Raw genomic sequence first — 20,087 nt, forward strand, 5'->3', positions numbered from 1 at the left:
GATATCCATAAGCAGAAGAATGAAACTCGACCCCATCTCTCACCATATACAAAAATTAAATCAAACTGAATTAAAGACTTAAATATAAGACCTCAAACTATGAAACTACTGTAAGAAAACATTTGGGAAAGTCTCCAGGATATTGGTCTGGGCAAAGATTTTTTCAGTAATACCCTACGAGCAGAGGCAACCAAAGAAAAAATCGACAAATGGGATTATTACGTTAAAAAGCTTCTGCACAGCAAAGGAAACAATCAACGAAGTGAAGAGGCAACCCACAGAATGGAATAAAACTACTCATATGACAAGGGATTAATAACCAGAATATATAAGCAGCTCTAACAACTCAATAGGAAAAAAATCTAATAATCCTATTTTTTTAAATGGGCAAAAGATGTGAATGGACATTTCTCAAAAGACATACAAAATGGCAAACCAGTATATGAAAAGGTGATCAACATCACTGATCATCCAGAGAAATGCAAATCAAAACTACAATGACATATCATATCACCATAGCACTCCACAGATACAGACATATAGATTTAGATAGATACAATTATTTTCTGTATCTCCCTACTAGAAAGTAAACTCCATGAAGGTAATGATTCTGTTTTGGGCTACGTTGTGTATATATTCTCAGCTCCTAGAACAATGTTTAGCACACAGTCAGCACTCAGCAAATATTTGTTATATGAATGCTTACACAAAATGTCTTTGCTTATTATGCTTCCCCAATCTTAGATACCCTCTCTACACTGCCACCTATAAAAATTCTACTCATTCTTCAAAGCCTACTCACATATCTTTTTCTGCAAAATTTCCTAATTCCCCCAAGTGGGACTCATTGCCCTCTCAACAGTTATGTGATTATAATTTTATTTAGTTCTCATTTAGTAAAATCTAAAATTTTTTAGATTTAGTAAAATGAGAACTATTTATTTTTTATAATAAAATCAGAATCATTTTAATTATTATATTACTTTTTGCTTTTACCTCTAGATTGTACACTCCTTAAAGGCAAGGTCTATGTCCCATCTTTTTATCATATACCATGCCACCTTCCTCACCCCTCACCCACTACCTGATAGTACCACATCACCACCACAGGAATATATTATAAGGGACAGGCACTCAATATTTGTTGAACTATTTGAAGGGAAGGACATTCCCAAACAAAAAAATAAAAGCAGATGCTGGGTTATGTGAAGTGGTATACTATTTTTTAAGTAAATGTAAAACTGCAGTGCTTCAGAAGAAATGTTAGAGGTGACATGAGTAAATTGTTTCCATAAGATTCTATTAATATGACTATAGTTGAATTTATTAGCTAGCAAAATATTAGTAAAGTGTTCACTTTTAAGAAAATTGAAGAAGCTCAAACCATTCTGGCAAAACAACAACACAACAACAACAAAAAAGTATCTTTAAGAAACTCAATGTGATTGGTCAGGTGACACCTTTTAGTTCCAATGTGGTTATTTATGATGTCACTGAACTTATCCCTGAGTCACTATGACTGATGATGTTACAATGATCATCACTGTATCCTTTGCTGGGCATATTTTGCTGACTGGCAAGGTTATATGAAGTGCTTTTATTGAAGCACCATTTTAACTAATAGCTCCTGGTATTTTCTGCTTCCCTTCGTAGGGAATTTAGTTATTTTATTTTATTATTTAGCTAATTTAGCTATTTTAAAATAGCTAAATTTTAGCTACTTTTTTTTCAATTGACAAAGAAGGATGTCTAATCAAAGACTACCGCTGATTTTTTCTCTGTTGTTTATCTGCTTCTTCGGGGAGAGTTTCTGCATTTGTGATGGAACTGTCTGGACAAAGGTTGGATGGGAGATTCTTCCAGAAGAAGTACATTATTGGAAAGTTAAGGGTTCTCCATCTCACTGCCTGCCTTATCTTCTGGATAAACTATGCTGCGACTTTGCTAACATGGATATATTTCAGGGTTGTTTATATCTCATTTATAATTTATTACAAGCTGTCTTCTTCGTCTTATTTGTTTTGTCTGTGCATTACCTGTGGAAGAAATGGAAGAAACACCAAAAAAAGGTGAATTCGTGATACAAGTAGTAATAGTTACAAAATCTCTAAGGGTTTAGAACATAATATTACTAGTTTCTTTGAGAGAGGGTACCGTGTTTTATTCCTCATTGTAACCTTCCCCCAACTTCCCATTCATTCCCAGCATCTAGCACAGTATCTTGCTCATACTAGGTGTTCAACAAATGTGTATTGAATTAGAAGGTCCTTAGAATCATCTAGCCCCCTCTACTTCAAGTTACAAAACACACCAAAAAAAGTAGTGTGCTACCATGAGGAGAATGTATGGAAAATCAAGTTATCTGTCTGGGTCCTTAGGTAAGTCATTTGCTCTATCTCAGTTGCCTCATCCACAAAAGGATCTGTAACAAGAGATCTCTTAGAACCCTTTCAGATGTATCTAAGAAATCTAAGTACAAAAGGTGTCATGTAATTTTTATATGGGCTATAAACTAATTGCTAATATTAGAACAACTTTCTGAGAAATGGAGCTTTTAAACTATTACATAATTTCCCACTTTGCCAATAGATGACACCATAGTTTGAGAGGCAACCTTAAAAGCTCTTTGATCAAAAAACAAACAAAACCTCATTGACCTTCAGAAGAATTAGATATTTATAAATGTTTTCTTATTTTTAAAATGACTATTACTTTATGGTGTTATACCTTGAGGTTCTTTCATAAACGAATACATTTTGCTAATCAAATAATTTCTCCCAAGAGAGTACCCTAAACATAGGACACACTAATTGTTTGCTGATGGTGATAAGGATCATACATGTGGCATATAGATAACATTTCCTCTGCACTTATACCTTACTTCTATAGTAACCTTCCTTTAGTATAAATAATTGATGTGTGCTGTTTTAATAAGGTTTGTTTACATATTTAGAACATAAATTTAATTTGAACTATATTATTAACTATACTATAGTATTGAACTCTACTGTTTTATGTAGATAAAATCTGTATTGTTTTTCTCCTTTTAGCTGAAAAAGCAAGCCTCCTTAGAAAAACCTGGTAATGATCTAGAAAGCCCATTGATCAACAACATTGACCAAACACTCCACAGAGTGGCAACCACAGCATCAGTGATATACAAGATCTGGGAGCACAGGTCTCACCATCCTTCCTCTAAGAAAATTAAGCACTGCAAATTAAAGAAGAAGAGTAAAGAAGAAGGAGCCAGAAGATACTAAATAAATGCATATGCAAATGTAGCTTAGTCAATTATAGATATCACAAAAGAAATCTATCATCTAAGGATTAAAAATTGTTCTTTGGAAACCTTTATAAACTTTTTGCCACAATCTTTACTAAAATTTTCCAAAGAAGCCTGGGTTGAAATGTTACTTCCCATTCAATTAAAAAAGAACCCGGACTTACTAAAGTACTAGAGAAGAAATTGTATACTGTAGAAAATGAAATAGAGGTTCCTCTTCAAAGGGACATTCCTCCCAGTCTAATTCAGAATAGATAGTAACCTCTCTTAGAAGCAAAATTTACTCAAAGACCTGTGCTAATATTCTTAAATTCTGCTAGCTGTAATAAAGAAATCAATATACTCTGTTCTTAGCTCCCACATTTTAGCATAGGTATTTGCCCTGGCATGCCTGAATAGGTCCAAGCAAGCATGAGGTCATAGCCTGTTTCTCTTTCCTTATTTGTAAGTGTTTTTGCCTCTCTCAGCATTCCACAGGTTAATTCCTCTCTTCCTTTGTTCTCCTCTGCCTTTGCCTCTTTTGGGAAGTTCTAAGTTGCTAGCCAATCAGGTTGAGTACAGAATGTGAGGTCCCATTCCAGCCAATGGAAACCGGACACAGCAGTAGGGTGGATGCATCAGGTTATAAATTACCCTGTCTCTTTTGTTGGTGTGTGGCAAGACTGCTAGCAAGCAGCACCCTTTCTGCAGAAAGTAAACTAGCCTTGCTGAGAGATCCTTTGTCTCAGTGTTGATTTTTGCAACACTAAGCACCCGTTCCCAACAATTTGGTGGCCCGTAGGGGATTAACATTCCCCTCTGGGACAGTCTTTGGTCCTCTCTCATGGGGAGGTGCCCCACTGCCCATTGTAGCAGCCCCTGGAGGACAGCCAGGACCTACCCGGAGCAAGGAATATAGTTGGATTCTCAGCAACGCAGGGAAAGAGAGAGGCTTGCAGGACCACAGTGACCAGGTGACTCCATGCACGGGCCAAGGTAGGAAAAGCTGCAAGAGGGTGGCAAAGTATTTCCTTGGTGGTCAGCTTTTGGAGGCTGAGTGTGTGTGTGTGTGTGTGTGAACGACTACCAGTCTGTTGCTGGACAGAGTGCATGAACACAAACAGGAAGGGTGTAAGGAACCACCGAAAGGGAAAAGGAGGAAGGTTAACCTCCCAGGGAAAGAGAATCGGCGAGACATCTCTGGTGTGAGAGATTGAGCCTTTCACAAGCCTTTAAGGATGGGACAGCCAAGACATCCCCAGTCTGAAGAATCTGGGGGATTGAGCCTTGCCGGGAAAAGAATAGGCGAGACATCCCTAGCACAAGGGATTGGGCCTATCTAGGATCCAACATGGGAAAAGGCCCTTGGCAAGCCTCCAAAGGAAGGAAGGGCAAGAAGCCTCTAGTAGGAGAGGTTGAGCCACCCCCAGCCCCCTGCCGCTGCCATATCCAGGAGTGCTAGAAACCTCCAGCAAGGAGCAAGGGGGGTTGAAAGCTCCAGGGAAAGGGCCTATCCCAGGCACCACCCCAAAACTTCAAGATAGGAAATGTTTCGAGTAAGACAGGGAAGATAAACACCTGTGGCTACAGCAATATTAGTTGAAGAAAGTAGAAAATTAACCTTTGGGGGGAGATTAACTGTAAGCACGCCCCACCAAGTTAGAGCTATTTTAAATCAAAAAGCAGGAAGGTGGCTTACTGACTCCAGAATCTTGAAATATAAGGCTATTTTGCTAGAAAAAGATGATTTACCCTTGACTACTGATAATTCACTCAACCCAGCGGGTTTCTTGGCAGGAGACCCAAATTTAAAAAACACTCGTGTCTAGATTTGACTGACTACCAAACAAAAGTCAGGCCAGATCTAGGAGAGGCCCCTTTTAAAACAGGACGGCACTGGTTTATAGATGGTTCCCCCAAAATAGTCAAAGGAGAAAAACATAATAGGTATTCAGTAATTGATGGAGAAACTCTTGAAGAAGTAGAGTCAGGAAGACTGCCCAATAATTAGTCTGCCCAAACCTGTGTCCTGTTTGCACTCAACCAAGCTTTGAAACATTTGCAGAACAAAGAAGGAACTGTTTATACTGATTCTAAGTATGCCTTTGGCGTGGCACATACAGTTAGAAAAATTTGGGCTGAGCAAGGTCTTATTAACAGTAAAGGCCAAGATCTAGTCCACAAAGAACTAATTTTTCGTGTCCTAGACAATCTCCAGTTGCCAGAAGAGATAGCTATTGTACATGTCCCAGGGCATAAAGGACTTTTCTTTCACAAGTCAGGGAAATAACCAAATGACCTTGCAGATCAGATAACCAAACAAGCTGCTGTTTCTTCTAAAATGCCTTTCACTTAACTCCTTGCCTTCCTTCCCCTACTGCAGTCCCCATCTTCTCTTCCACTAAAAAAGGAAAAGTTAATAAAAATAGAAGCTAAAGAGAACACAGAAGGAAAATGGATACTACCAGATCAAAGGGAGATGTTATCCAAACCTCTCATAAGGGAGTTCTTAACCATGGTTCTCAGCCTTCATGGGTGTATAGGAATTTATACCCTAGCCAAGCAAGTTACAAATAGTTGTCTAAAATGTTAAGAAAACCAACAAACAAGTCATAAAGAAATCACCTCCAAGGGGGAGGGATCCAGGACTAAGGCCATTCCAAAGTGTTCAAATGAACTGCACTGAAATGACTCCAATCGTTTGCCTCAAGTATTTGTTGGTAATAGTAGATCAGCTCAACTCACTAGATTGAAGCTACCTCCTTTTCAAATGCAACAGCTAATAATGTAGTTAAAGCATTAATTGAGAATATAGTGCCCAAATTTGGGCTAATAGAGAATATTGACTCAGACAATGGAACCTATCTCACAGCCCATGTCATTAAGAAGCTATCCCAGGTTTTAAACATTAGATGGGAGTATCATACCCCTTGGCATCCACCTTCATCAGGGAGGGTAGAAAGGATGAATCAGACTTTAAAGAACCATTTAACCAAATTAGTTCTAGAAACTCATTTACTGTGGACCAAATGTCTTCCCATTGCCTTATTGAGGATCAGGACAGCTCCCTGAAAGGATATAGGCCTGTCTCCATATGAAATGTTATATGGATTGCCTTATTTACATTCCTAAGCTGATGTTCCTGTGTTTAAAACTAAGGATCAGTTCCTGAGCAATTATATACTTGGTCTCTCCTCTACCTTTTCTTCTCTTAAGGTCAAAGGTCTCTTAGCACAGGCCACCACTAGAATTTCCAGCACACCAGCACCAACCCAGGGACCACCTTCTCATCAAAGGGTGGAAGGAAGGGAAACTCGAGCCCACCTGGGAAGGCCCCTATCTGGTGCTGTTAACCACCGAGACTGCCGTCCGCACAGCTGAGAAAGGATGGACCCACCATACTCTAGTTAAGAAAGCAGCTTCCTCGTCAGAATCATGGGTTGCTGTACCAGGATTGAGTCCTACCAAGTTGAAGTTAAAGAAAGCTTAATTTTTATATACCTTCTATATTGCTTCCTTTCCTTTCCTTATTCTGTTACTAGCTCCTTTGTTATTAATGTAACTAAGTCTGACTCACCTCAGACCATTGCCTTTAATGCTTGCTCTGTCACACCTTGTGGAGATGTGAAAGATCAATGACAGCTAGCCTTTTCACACAAATATTTATGCCCCAGCCCTCTAACTGACACAGTTATTCCTAGCTCTCATAGTTGTGATCGCCTGCAGCTGAGACACCAATTGTCTGCTCCTACAGCCTGGCAACCTTGCAGTAGCTGGAACTATGTCCTTTGAACTACTCAGGAGCAAGGTTAGACTTCCACGGAAGAGGTTTGTGCAAATCTAAAATCCCTCACCTATTTCTGTCAGCCTTATCAGTGTAACCCTGTCCTTCTCTCTCTCACCACCTCCACCTTAACTGATTCTAAACTTGCCCTTGTTCACTTCTATGGTATGGGGATTGATGTAAATGGGAAAGACCCCCTAGGCATTTTTGAGATATGCATTATTCCCCAGTCTTCCCCTTCTTCGGTAGCCTCAGTTTTAAATCCCACACCAGTTGCTCCTACACCTAATGATAAAACTAGGGTGTCTATTGTGAAAGTGAAATATCTTAAGACAGACCTTAGCCATTGAGATAGGATATCAAGATGCAAATGCCTGGCTGAAATCGATTAAATATTCCATTCGCACTTTAAATAAAAGCGATTGTTACGCTTGTGCACACGGTAGGCCAGAGGCCCAGACTGTCCCCTTTCCACTTGGATGGGCTCCTCGTTGACCAAGCATGGACTGTATGGTGGCTCTCTTCCAGAATCCCACTGCTTGGGATAATCCATCATGCCAAGCTCTCTCTGCTGTTTCCTGAAGTTCAACACACTGAGGGTCAGGCCCAGAGGGCAATCCAGCTTCCACCTCTAAATGCCAAGTTTACTTCCTGCCTCTCATGGCAAGGGGAGAATTTAGTGTTCCTTGGAAGCATAAAAAGATGCAAGGAGCTCAGGCCTTTCCAGAAGCTTGTTCATCAGTCCCCGAGCTGTATGATGGTACTGTGGAGGACCTTTACTGGACACTCTGCCTTATAATTGGAGTGGTACTTGTGCTCTAATCCAATTGACTATCCCCTTCACCCTGGCATTTCGTCAGTCTGCGAAAGTAAAAACAAGACACTGCAGGCCAAGGGAAACTCCATTTGAGTCCTTTGATCCTCAGGTTTACATAGATGCTATTGGGGTCCCATGAGGAGTGCCAGATAAGTTTAAAGCATGGAATCAAATAGCTACAGGATTTGAATCTACATTGTTCTGGTGGTTAACTACATATCTATAAATAAAAATATAGACTGGATAAACTATATTACAATCAGCAATGATTCATAAATTATACTAGGGACTCCATCGAAGGGATAGCTGAGCAAATAAGACCTACCAGCCAGATGGCCTGGAAAAATAGAATAGCCTTAGATATGATATTAGCAGAAAAAGGAGGTGTTTGCATAATGATTGAAACTCAATGTTGTACCTTTATTCCTAATAATACTACCCCTGATGGAACTATAACAAGAGTGCTACAAGGATTAACAGCCCTATCCAATGAACTTGCCAAAAATTCTGGATTAGATGATCCTTTTTCTAAAAGACAGAACATTGGTTCAGGGGATGGAAAGGGATTTTCACTTCAATTCTCACCTCGTTAGCTCTTGTTATTGGTGTACTTATTCTCATAGGCTGTTGTATTATTACCTGCCTTCAAAGTTTTATACAAAAACTTGTCTCTGCCACTCTTACAAAGTTAATTCCTAACTTTTCTTCACCCTATTCAGAAAGATTACTTCTCTTAAAAGGACAAACAGAGCAACTGAGTCAAGACATGTTAAACAAGTTTAAAGAGGAATTATAAAATAAAAGAGGGGGGAATTGTAGAAAATGAAATAGAGGTTCCTCTTCAAAGGGACATTCCTCCCAGTCTACTTCAGAATAGATAGTAACCTCTCTTAGAAGCAAAATTTACTCAAAGACCTGTGCTAATATTCTTAAATTCTGCTAGCTGTAATAAAGAAATCAATATACTCTGTTCTTAGCTCCACATTTTAGCCTAGATATTTGCCTGGGCATGCCTGAAGAGGTCCAAGCAAGCATGAGGTCATAGCCTGTTTCTCTTTCCTTATTTGTAAGTGTTTTTGCCTCTCTCAGCATTCCACAGGTTAATTCCTCTCTTCCTTTGTTCTCCTCTGCCTTTGCCTCTTTTGGGAAGTTCTAAGTTGCTAGCCAATCAGGTTGAGTACAGAATGTGAGGTCCTATTCCAGCCAATGGAAACCGGACACAGCAGCAGGGTGGATGCATCAGGTTATAAATGACCCTGTCTCTTTTCTTCGTGTGCGCTCTTGTGGCAAGACTGCTAGCGAGCAGCAACCCTTTCTGCAGAAAGTAAACTAGCCTTGCTGAGAGATCCTTTGTCTCAGTGTTGATTTTTGTGACACCAACCACCTGTTCCCAACATATACTATCACTGCTACATGTTTAAGTGTTTTGTTATTTTTAATGTGTTAGATTATATATAGAATAGAAGCTTAATTTAGTGTTTCAATACATCTCTGATAAATAATATCTGTGACTTGTCTTATTTGCCTGAGAATTTTTTTTTTTTTTTTTTTTGAGACAGAGTCTCACTCTGTCACCCAGGCTGGAGTGTAGTGGCTCCATCTTGGCTCACTGCAACCTCTGCCACCCTGGTTCAAGCGATTCTCCTGCCTCAGCCTCCCGAGTAGTTAGGATTACAGGCTCCTGCCACTGTGCCCAGCTAATTTTTGTATTTTTAGTGGAGATGGGGTTTCACCATCTTGGCCAGGCTGTCTTGAACTTCTGACCTCATGATCCACCTGCCTTGGTCTCCCAAAGTCCCGGGATTACAGGTGTGAGCCACTGCACCCAGGCTTCCTGAGAAAATTTTATAACCACAGGAAGACTTTTAATTTCCTACTTCAGATTGCTAAAATAGCATGGAAATATTAAAGAATATATTAATTTTTAAGTATAAATGTTTTCATTTTCAGTATAATAAATGATTATAGATTAATGTTTTTTTAATTTCAGACTTTTGTTGACAAGACAATTCAATTTTTTAAACTATGGTTACCGTATTTTTCAAAGAACAGCTAGGAGATAGGCCTGAGACTGGGACAGAAGATTTGACTTAAAGTATCTTGAAAAATCCCAGAAAAAATATATCTATAACATATCTGCCATCATTATAAGGAGGAAAAAAACTTTTCAAAAATAATACTTGAAACAGTAATAAACTTTACAGTTTTATAAGTAACGGAAAAGAATAGTACCTGGCTTGGGCTATTATGGATTACGAAAGGTTTATTTTGTTCCACTTTCCAGACTCCCTTTACCTCCGTTCCTCCTTAGCACAACCCCACCTTCACATTTCTAGAAATGTTTGTTTCATACTTTCAGAGTTCTGAAATGTTAGCTAATTCCCTCTAAGAGAATATTAATATACATTTATTCTAATGGTGAACTGTTGAAGACTTTAAAAATCCCCAAACCTCTAAAACCCAGAGAAATTTATCTCTAATAATGGAATTTTCAGTAGAATGCAGAAGACTATTTGGGGTAGGGATTTCTGAATCCTTTAAGTCTCCCCAGGTAACTCCTACTGTAATCACTAGAAGAAACAGAAGTGACATACATTCTTGATAAGACTGAATTAAATAGATGTTAAATTTTATGTTATTTATGTTTCTGACATTCCACAGCTACATTACTATGAAACTCCATTCTGAATAAGACTGAATTAAACAAATAGTAAGGCTGAATTAAATAAATGTTAAATTTTATGTTGAGTTATTTATGTTTCTGACATTCCACAGCTACATTACTATGAAACTCCAATATTAATTTAATCATTGATCTGGAAACACAATACTAGTTTGCTTTTTATAGTTTTCATTTCTTTTCACCACTAAGACATATTCGGTATAATTGCTCCAAGAACCTAAGGACTCAAATTAAACAGATGGATATTATGAAGAAGGAAGCCAATAATACCTCACATCCATAAGCCCCAAAAAATTTTTCAGAAAAGTTACAGCAAAATTTGTCCTTGAATTGTGATTTTTAAGTACTATGGGTCATTTTTCAAAAATGGATTTTAAATTATGGAATGTGGGCTGGGCATGGTGGCTCATGCCTGTAATCCCAGCACTTTGGGAGGTTAAGGAGGGCAGATCACGAGATCAGGAGTTCGAGACCAGCCTGACCAACATGGTGAAACCCTGTCTCTACTTAAAATATAAAAATTAGCCAGCCATAGTGGCACATGCCTGTAATACCAGCTACTTGGGAGGCTGAGGCAGGAGAATCACTTGAACCCGGGAGGCATAGGTTGCAGTGAGTCAAGATCACGTCATTGTACTCCAGCTGGGGCAACAAGAGCGAAACTCCATCTCAAAAAAAAAAAAAAAAATTATGGAATGTGAATTTCACCTAAAATTACTATTCATGGGGGGAATCAATTGAATTATTTGCTATTTGTGTTTTCCTTTTACTTACAGATCTAATCATAAAAATAGAAGATATTGACATAAGATTGCTTATAGAAAATATTTAGTTCAAGTGGACAGTTAATTATAAAAATAATCTACAAAGCACAACTCATCTCTTTCTTCCCAAATGTGTTTCCTTCAAGTTCCTTGTTTCTATCAATTATTCTAGTCCCTTTCTCATTTTATTGATGAACATGCATCTTACCACTACCAGCTGAAACTTCCTCAAGTTCACTTTCATCCTCTTCCTCTTCTACATAACAATTTTCAGTGGCTCCCAGAATAAAATAAAAACACCTTAGCCTGGCATTTAAGGGTATGGTGTAATAAAAGCAGCAGCATTTTTCAAGTGCTGACCACATGCCAGGTATTGTGGTAACTGCTTTATATCATCTCATTTAATTTTCACAGCAATCCACAAAAGGTGGGAACTATATTATTTGCCCCTTTTTCAGAGAAGGAAACTGAGGTATAGAGAATTTAAGCACCTTGTCCAAGGTCACATAGGTTTCAAGTAGGGACACCAGTATTTAAACTCAATCTCAAGAAGACATGTATTAACCCTTTTATTATTCTACCTATGTTATAGCCTACCTGTGGAAACTATGACCTACTACTCAATAAGGCAATCTTGTCACCATCCTCCAACATGCCACTTTCACTCACAGCTCTAAGATTTTGCTCATGCCCTTTCCCTCTCTATTGCATATTCAAATCCCATCCATTCTTCAAGGCCCAGCTCAAGCCCAACATGCTCTGACTTCCTATTCTTCCACCACTCTATAGCACAGAATACTTGCTCTGCCAATTTTAACCTTTAATCACAGTCTTTCTGATATTTTTATATAATTGTTGAATGTGTCCATAACTTATAATCTCCCACCTAACAAATATCCAGAGGGTAGGAACAACCAATTGTATCTACAGCAATACTATGCTCACAATGGGAATTCAATAAATGCTTGCTAAAAACAGGAATGCAGATAACCATGCAAAATAAATGCTGTAAACTTCATAAATACTAGCTTAGTTACAAAGGTACATCTTCCTGAAATCTCTTTAAGCTATACTTTACAGGGTTGTGGAAGTATATATGCAAAATATTAGCAAATTCAAAATAGTACTATTTTTTGAACTTCGTATTGAAGTATAACTTACAAACAGAAAAGTACAAAAACCATGCATACAGCTCAATGAATTTTCAAAGAAACATACCCATGTACCAGCAACCAGGTTAAGAAAAAGAACATTACATCCCAGAAGTTCCCCATGCCGTAAGGGTAGCTACTATTCTGACTATTAGCACTATAAATTAATTTAGCCTAAATAAACCTTTCTAAAATTATTGTTACAACCTTTTATATTTGAGGAATCAAATGTATTACTCAAATATGCTATTTTTTAAACATTTAAGAAATGACCCACTTTGCCTGAGTCTCTCAAAAAATGGCCTTGAACATACATATTGAACATACAATAATCTTCTTATAGAAATTATTTTCTCATAGACAATTATTGGTGAGACAGAAGTTGGTAAATCAACTAGCTTCCAATATGTTCAGTTCCTAATAAATACAATGTTTATGGCCAATAGCAAAACAAAGAAAGAGGGGGAAATTTCATGTATTATCACCAACTGTGACTGTGGTTGTATCTACAAACAAAACACTGTGAAAAAAGGTGACATATCCTGTAACTCATAGGAGAAAAACTCATCACATCAGTCAGTTTGCTAACCCCTTGTGAGCTTCCTTACCTGCCCAGTCCAGGAATTCAACACACTCAGTCTGAGAATATCTAGCAGCAACATCTCGAGCCCTTTCTTCCCGGAAGTTCAAAGCTTCTATATCAACATCCAGTTCTACCAGTGCTTTCAAAGTTTCCAAACGACCCCAGGCTGCAGCACAATGTAAGAGTGTGTACCCTAACAAATGGAATGAAGATGGTGAGATCAAACAGACTACATTGTTTTAGGCTAATTTATGTAGTGGAAGATCATAATGGTGATCAAGTATTGAACAATTACTGTGGGCCAGGCACTATTCTAACTGTCTTACATATAGAAAACTCATTTAGTTTTATAAAACCACTATGATGTCAGAACTACTACAGTTCTCATTTTATAGACAAGGAAACTAAAGTCCAGGTGGATTAAGAAACTTGCCCAAGGAAACATCCCTGGCAAACAGTAAATGATGGATGCCAGCATAGACTGTCTGAAGGCTGAGCTCTTCAACATCATGGGAGGAAGATGGCAATCTCCCTAGCAGTCACCTATTCTGAACGCAACTGGACCTGTGATTTTAAAGAATTTTTATCAAACTCTAATTAGCATTATTGTTAGCACAATCATACAAATTACTACAACTGTGTATACCTTAGGTTTGGAAATTCTATTAATTAAAACTAAAATTATGGCCTATCAAATTAGAAAGTCATTTCTTAGACTTTCTCAAGTGACTATCATGAGGTATAATTGTAAACAAGAAGAATATGGAAGGCATCTTTAAATATTTTTCAGATTGATTTTTTAAAAATTAAAGATCACTGTTTGAACTTGCTCACAAGGATATACATACTTCTTTTTACTACAATTCACTTTATTGCACAGAGGGACAATACTCTTAAGCTTTCTAGAGGCTTCCTGGTGTGATAAAGGGACAACCACAGTCAATCCCATAATCTTTTGTGTCTAAATACTCTAAACTGTTTTTTCAGACAGGTCTCACTCTGTTGCCCAGTTTAGAGTGCAGTGGCATGAATAGCTCACTGCAGCCTCGAACTCCTAGGCTCAAGCAATCTTCCCACCTCAGCTTCCTGAGTAGCTGGGACTATAGGCTCATGCCAGCATGCCCAGATATTTTTTTTTTTTTAGATGGAGTCTTTCGCTGTTGCCAGGCTGGAGTGCGGTGGCACGATCTCGGCTCACTGCAACCTCCGTGTCCCGGGTTCAAGCTATTCTGCCTCAGCCTCTGGAGTAGCTGGGACTACAGGCATGCAGCACCACGCCCAGCTTATTTTTGTATTTTTAGTAGAGACAGGGTTTCATCATGTTGGCCAGGATGGTCTTGATCTCTTGACCTCGTGATCCACTTGCCTCAGCCTCCCAAAGTGCTGGTATTATAGGCATAAGCCACCATGCCCAGCCAATAATTTTTTAAATATTTTGCAGAGACAGAGTCTCAGTATATTGCCCAGGCTCGTCTGGAACTCCTGGGCTTAAGCAGTCCTTTCCTGGCCTCCCAAAGTGCTAGGATTACAGGCATGAACCACCACACCCAGCCACTCTGAACTTTTTGATCCAACATGTCAACAGAAGGTTATAGAGTCATATACTCAGTTTTTTCTCGGAAGCATGCTTTTCTGACAGTGAATCTTAATTTTCATGTCTTTGTCATATGGACAGGCTTGGAATTTCCCAAATTATCCTTTTCTCAATTTATTTTTCCCCTGGTATTTTCCTATAAGCAGTGAGAAGAAACCAGGAGCACCTGCAACACTTAGCTTAGGAATCCCCTCTCTAAATAAGGTTTCATGATGACATAGAATCAGAATGAAGAAATAGAATATTTTAGAGTGTATCATCAAGTCCTAAAAGACTATACACCTATTCCCACACATTGGAAAATACCTACAAAAAAGATGGCAATATTCATGTCAACCAGTCACAATACTACCTTCCTTGAATAGTGTTAGGGACACAATGCCAAATATTGATTTGGGTCTCTCCTTTTCCTTTATATAGTATGGTTTTCAGGTATTACTATTATCCTCATTTTTATAGATGAAGAAACCATAGCACAGAAAGGTTATATAATTTGCCCAAGTCACATAGTCAAGTTAGTGGAAAGCTGGGGTTTTAACTCAGGTAGTCTGGCTGTAAAATCCATGCTCTTAACCAATCTATTACAGAATCCTTTTGTAACTTGATTTTTGTCTCAATATTTTTAAGTGTTATCCATTTTAATACCCAAAGAGCTAATTCATTCCTTTTAATTATTGTGTAATATTCCATTGTATGAAAACAATTTATCTACCCTTCTATTGTTTATTTCCAATGATTAACTGTTATAAGCAATATTTGAATAATCATCTTATACTTATGTCTTCTTGTAAGCATGTGTGAGAGTTTCCCAAAGACATATATCTAGAAATGGAAATTAGGATCATCAGGTATGTCCATGAACAACTTGATATAAGTGTTCTCAAAAGGGATTATACCAATTTATACTCCCTCCTCAGAGTGAAGGAATTCCCATTTCCTACATCTTTACCAATGTTTAATCCTGTCAAATATTTAAATTTTTCTGAATCTGATGAGTCATGGTAGCCCATTGTTTACATTTGCTTTTAATAGTGAAGTTAAACATATTTTCATTTATTTACTGGCCATGAGAGTTTCTCTTCCATAAATTGCATGTTCCTATCCTCTGCCTATTTTTCTATTGGGTTGAATTCTAAGCCTGTTGATTAGTAGGCTGTCTTTACATAGATATATCCTTTGTCTGTGGCTTATTTTGTCATTTTGTTTATGATATCTTTTATGCAGAGTTTAAAATTTAGGTAGATAGACAGATCTTTTCCCTTAGTGGTTGGGTTCTTTATATCTCAAGATATTCTGTGATGTCTCAAGAATATAGCAATACTCTATTTTTCAGAAAGTTTAAAATATTTTGCTTTACACATTCATGTCTTACAATCATCTGTAATTGATTTTTATGTATGGTACAAAGTAGGTATATAATTTTATTTTTTTCCAGATGAATAATAAATATTCTCTGGCATCATATATTAAATAGTTCATTTTCCCCACTGAAATTTAGGGTCAGCTTCTCAGTTTGCTTTTAAAAAGATTCTTCTGAGATATTAACTACACTGACAAATTAATTGGGAAGAAATTAAGAGAAACAGCGTTATGATATTTAGTCTCACTATTGAGACATATATACATTTCGTGTGGTCTTTCATATAAATCAATAAAGTTTCATACTTTTTGCCATAAATGTCTTACAATTCTTATTTTATTATTATTACACTTTAAGTTCTAGGGTACATATGCACAACATGCAGGTTTGTTACATAGGTATACATGTGCCATGTTGGTTTGCTGCACCCATTAACTCGTCATTTACATTAGGTATTTCTCCTAATGCTATCTCTCCACCAACCCCCTGCCCTATAATAGACCCCGGTGTGTGATGTTCCCCACCCTGTGTCCAAGCGTTCTCATTGTTCAATTCCCACATATGAGTGAGAACACGGTTTGGTTATCTGTCCTTATGATAGTTTGCTGAGAATGATGGTTTCCAGCTTCATCCATGTCCCTGCACAGGATATGAACTCATCCTTTTTTATGGCTGCAGAGCATTCCGTGGTATATATGTGCCACATTTTCATAATCCAGTCTATCATTGATGGGCACTTGGGTTGGTTCCAAGTCTTTGCTATTGTGAATAGTGCCGCAATAAACATACGTGTGCGTGTGTCTTTATAGTAGCATGATTTATAAACCCTTGGGTATATACCCAGTAATGGGATGGCTGGGTCAAATGGTATTTCTAGTTCTAGATCCTTGAGGAAAATTGTGTTCCACAATGGTTGAACTACTTTACACTCCCACCAACAGTGTAAAAGCATTCCTATTTCTCCACATCCTCTCCAGTACCTGTTGTTTCCTAACTTTTTAATCATCACCATTCTAACTGGTGTGAGATGGTATCTCATTGTGGGTTTGATTTGCATTTCTCTGATGACCAACAATGATGAGTATTTTTTCATGTGTCTTTTGGCTGCAGAAATGTCTTCTTTTCAGAAGTGTCTGTTCATATCCTTTGCCCACTTTTTGATGGGGTTGTTTTTTTCTTTTAAATTTGTTTAAGTTCTTTGCAGATTCTGGATATTAGCCCTTTATCAGATGGGCAGATTGCAAAAATTTTCTCCCATCCTGTAGGTTGTCTGTTCACTCTGATGGTAGTTTCTTTTGCTGAGCAGAAGCTCTTTAGTTTAATTAGATACTGTTTGTCGATTTGGGCTTTTGTTGCCATTGCTTTTGGTGTTTTAGTCATGAAGTCCTTGCCCATGCCTATGTCCTGAATGGTAATGCCTAGGTTTTCTTCTAGGGTTTTTATGGTTTTAGGTCTAACATTTAAATCTTTAATCCATCTTGAATTGACTTTAGCATAAGGTGTAAGGAAGGGATGCAGTTTCAGGTTTCTACATATGGCTAGCCAGTTTTCCCAGCACCATTTATTAAATAGGGAATTCTTTCCCCATTTCTTGTTTTTGTCGGGTTTGTCAAAGATCAGATGATTGTAGATGTGTGGTGTTATTTCTGAGGCCTCTGTTCTGTTCCATTGGTCTATATCTCTGTTTTGGTACCAGTACCATGCTGTTTTGCTTACTGTAGCCTTGTAGTATAGTTTGAAGTTAGGTAGCATGATGCCTTCAGCTTTGTTGGCTTTTTGCTTAGGATTGTCTTGGCAATGCAGGGTCTTTTTTGGTTCCATATGAACTTTAAAGTAGTTTTTTCCAATTGTGTGAAGAAAGTCATTGGTAGCTTGATGGGGATGGCATTGAATCTATAAATCACCTTGAGCAGTATGGCCATTTTCACGATATTGATTCTTCCTATCCATGAGCATGGAATGTTCTTCCATTTCTTTGTGTCCTCCTTTATTTCGTTGAGCAGTGGTTTGTAGTTCTCCTTGAAGAGGTCCTTCACATCCCTTGTAAGTTGGATTCCTACGTATTTTATTCTCTTTGTAGCAATTGTGAATGGGAGTTCATTCATGATTTGGCTCTCTGTTTCTCTGTTATTGGCGTATAGGAATGCTTGTGATTTTTGCACATTGCTTTTGTATCCTGAGACTTTGCTGAAGTTGCTTATCAGCTTAAGGAGATTTGGGGCTGAAACGATGGGGTTTTCTAAATACACAATCATGTCATCTGCAAACAGGGACAATTTGACTTCCTCTTTTCCTAATTGAATACCCTTTATTTCCTTCTCCTGCCTGATTGCCCTGGCCAGAACTTCCAACACTATGTGGAATAGGAGTGGTGAGAGAGGGCATCCCTGTCTTGTGCCAGTTTTCAAAGGGAATGCTTCCAGTTTTTGCCCATTCAGTATGATATTGGCTGTGGGTTTGTCATAAATAGCTCTTATTATTTTGAGATACATTCCATCAATAACTAGTTTATTGAGAGTTTTCAGCATGAAGGTCTGTTGAATTTTGTCAAAGGCCTTTTCTGTATCTGTTGAGATAATCATGTGTTTTTTTGTCATTGGGTCTGTTTATGTGATGGATTATGTTTATTGATTTGTGTATGTTGAACCAGCCTTGCATCCCAGGGATGAAGGCAACTTGATCATGGTGGATAAGCTTTTGATGTGCTGCTGGATTCTATTTGCCAGTATTATATTGAGGATTTTCACATCGATGTTCATCAGGGATATTGGTCTAAAATTCTCTTTTTTGGTTGTGTCTCTGCCAAGCTTTGGTATCAGGATGACGCTGACATCATAAAATGAGTTAGGGAGGATTCCCTCTTTTTCTATTGATTGGAATAGTTTCAGAAGGAATAGTACCAGCTCCTCCTTGTAACTCTGGTAGAATTCGGCTGTCAATCCATCTGCTCCTAGACTTTTTTTGGTTGGTAGGCTATTGATTACTGCCTCAATTTCAGATCCTGTTATTGGTCTATTCAGCAGTTCAACTTCTTCCTGGTTTAGTCTTGGGAGGATGTATGTGTCCAGGAATTTATCCATTTATTCTAGATTTTCTAGTTTATTTGTGTAGAGGTGTTTATAGTATTGACTGATGGTAGTTTGTATTTCTGTGGGATCGGTGGTGACATCCCCTTTATCATTTTTTATTGTGTCTATTTGATTCTTCTCTCTTTTCTTCTTTATTAGTCTTGTTAGCAGTCTATCAATTTTGTGGATCTTTGCAAAAAAACAAGTCCTGTATTCATTGATTTTTTTGAAGGGTTTTTTGTGTCTCTATCTCCTTCAGTTCTGCTCTGACCTTAGTTATTTCTTGCCTTCTGCTAGCTTTTGAATATGTTTGCTCTTGCTTCTCTAGTTCTTTTAATTGTGATGTTAGGGTGTTAATTTTAGATCTTTCCTGCTTTCTCTTGTGGGCATTTAGTGCTATAAATTTTCCTCTACACACTGCTTTAAATGTGTCCCAGAGATTCTGGTATGTTGTGTCTTTGTTCTCACTGGTTTCAAAAAACATCTTTATTTCTGCCTTCATTTCATTACTTATCCAGTAGTCATTCAGGAGCAGATTGTTCAGTTTCCATGTAGTTGTGTGGTTTTGAGTGACTTTCTTAATCCTGAGTTCTAATTTGATTGCACTGTGGTCTGGGAGATAGTTTGCTGTGATTTTAGTTCTTTTACATTTGCTCAGGAGTGCTTTACTTCCAACTATGTGGTCAATTTTAGAATAAGTGTGATATGGTACTGAGAAGAATGTATATTCTGTTGATTCGGGGTGCAGCATTCTGCAGATGTCTATTAGGTCTGCTTGGTGCAGAGCTGAGTTCAAGTCCTGGATATCCTTGTTAACCTTATGTCTCGTTGATCTGTCTAATGTTGACAGTGGGGTGTTAAAGTCTCCCATTATTATTGTTTGGGAGTCTAAATCTCTTTGTAGGTCTCTAAGGACCTGCTTTATGAATCTGGGTGCTCCTGTATTGGGTGTCTATATATTTATGATAGTTAGCTCTTCTTGTTGAATTGATCCCTTTACCATTATGTAATAGCCTTATCT

General features: G+C 37.9%; 2 protein-coding genes and 1 long non-coding RNA gene across 13 annotated transcripts in view, besides 1 other annotated feature; 2 read left to right on the forward strand and 1 right to left on the reverse strand.

The window, feature by feature from the left end:
- ANKRD45 (ankyrin repeat domain 45) overlaps positions 1 to 20,087 on the reverse strand; it is a 106,850-nt gene that overhangs the window by 25,441 nt on the left and 61,322 nt on the right. For all 8 annotated transcript variants that reach the window (NR_158771.1, XM_017001123.2, XM_047419195.1 and 5 more), the window contains one exon: positions 13,070 to 13,237. Coding sequence is in view for 7 of the 8 variants with exons in the window: in XM_017001123.2 (XP_016856612.1) it covers positions 13,070 to 13,237 (168 nt within the window). In the remaining variant the exon portion in view is untranslated. The remainder of the gene's footprint in view (positions 1 to 13,069; positions 13,238 to 20,087) is intronic.
- Positions 1,562 to 3,354, forward strand: TEX50 (testis expressed 50). The gene is made up of 2 exons (NM_001195190.3): positions 1,562 to 2,069; positions 3,051 to 3,354. Exons 1-2 carry the CDS (start codon positions 1,746 to 1,748, stop codon positions 3,258 to 3,260), a joined length of 534 nt encoding a protein of 177 aa, NP_001182119.1. The 5' UTR covers positions 1,562 to 1,745; the 3' UTR covers positions 3,261 to 3,354.
- Positions 3,929 to 20,087, forward strand: part of LOC105371619 (uncharacterized) — a 44,005-nt gene continuing 27,846 nt past the window's right edge. Inside the window, exons 1-2 of one of the 4 annotated variants that reach the window (XR_007066737.1) lie at positions 3,929 to 4,258; positions 6,479 to 7,090. This is a non-coding gene — a long non-coding RNA (uncharacterized LOC105371619). Of the gene's footprint in view, positions 9,366 to 20,087 lie in introns of those variants that run through there. The other 3 variants (XR_007066735.1, XR_922291.4, XR_007066736.1) reach the window with 3 other exon arrangements.
- Positions 7,914 to 9,113: an enhancer, noted in NCBI's record as "BRD4-independent group 4 enhancer chr1:173610829-173612028 (GRCh37/hg19 assembly coordinates)". NCBI's record gives its function as "activates an origin of replication core promoter dependent on BRD2, P300/CBP, MED14 and CDK7 cofactors, and independent of BRD4, by STARR-seq in HCT116 cells {active_cell/tissue: HCT116}" and the evidence as "EXISTENCE:reporter gene assay evidence [ECO:0000049][PMID:35650434]".

This window comes from Homo sapiens, chromosome 1 (genome assembly GCF_000001405.40).
Source record: "Homo sapiens chromosome 1, GRCh38.p14 Primary Assembly".
Classification (NCBI taxonomy): Eukaryota; Metazoa; Chordata; class Mammalia; order Primates; family Hominidae; genus Homo; species Homo sapiens.

Coding starts and splice junctions, on each gene's coding strand:
- TEX50 (NM_001195190.3), top strand. CDS start 1,746: ATGTCTAATCAAAGACTACCGCTGATTTTTTCTCTGTTGTTTATCTGC. Junction 2,070..3,050: donor GGAAGAAACACCAAAAAAAG/GTGAATTCGTGA, acceptor TTCTCCTTTTAG/CTGAAAAAGCAAGCCTCCTT.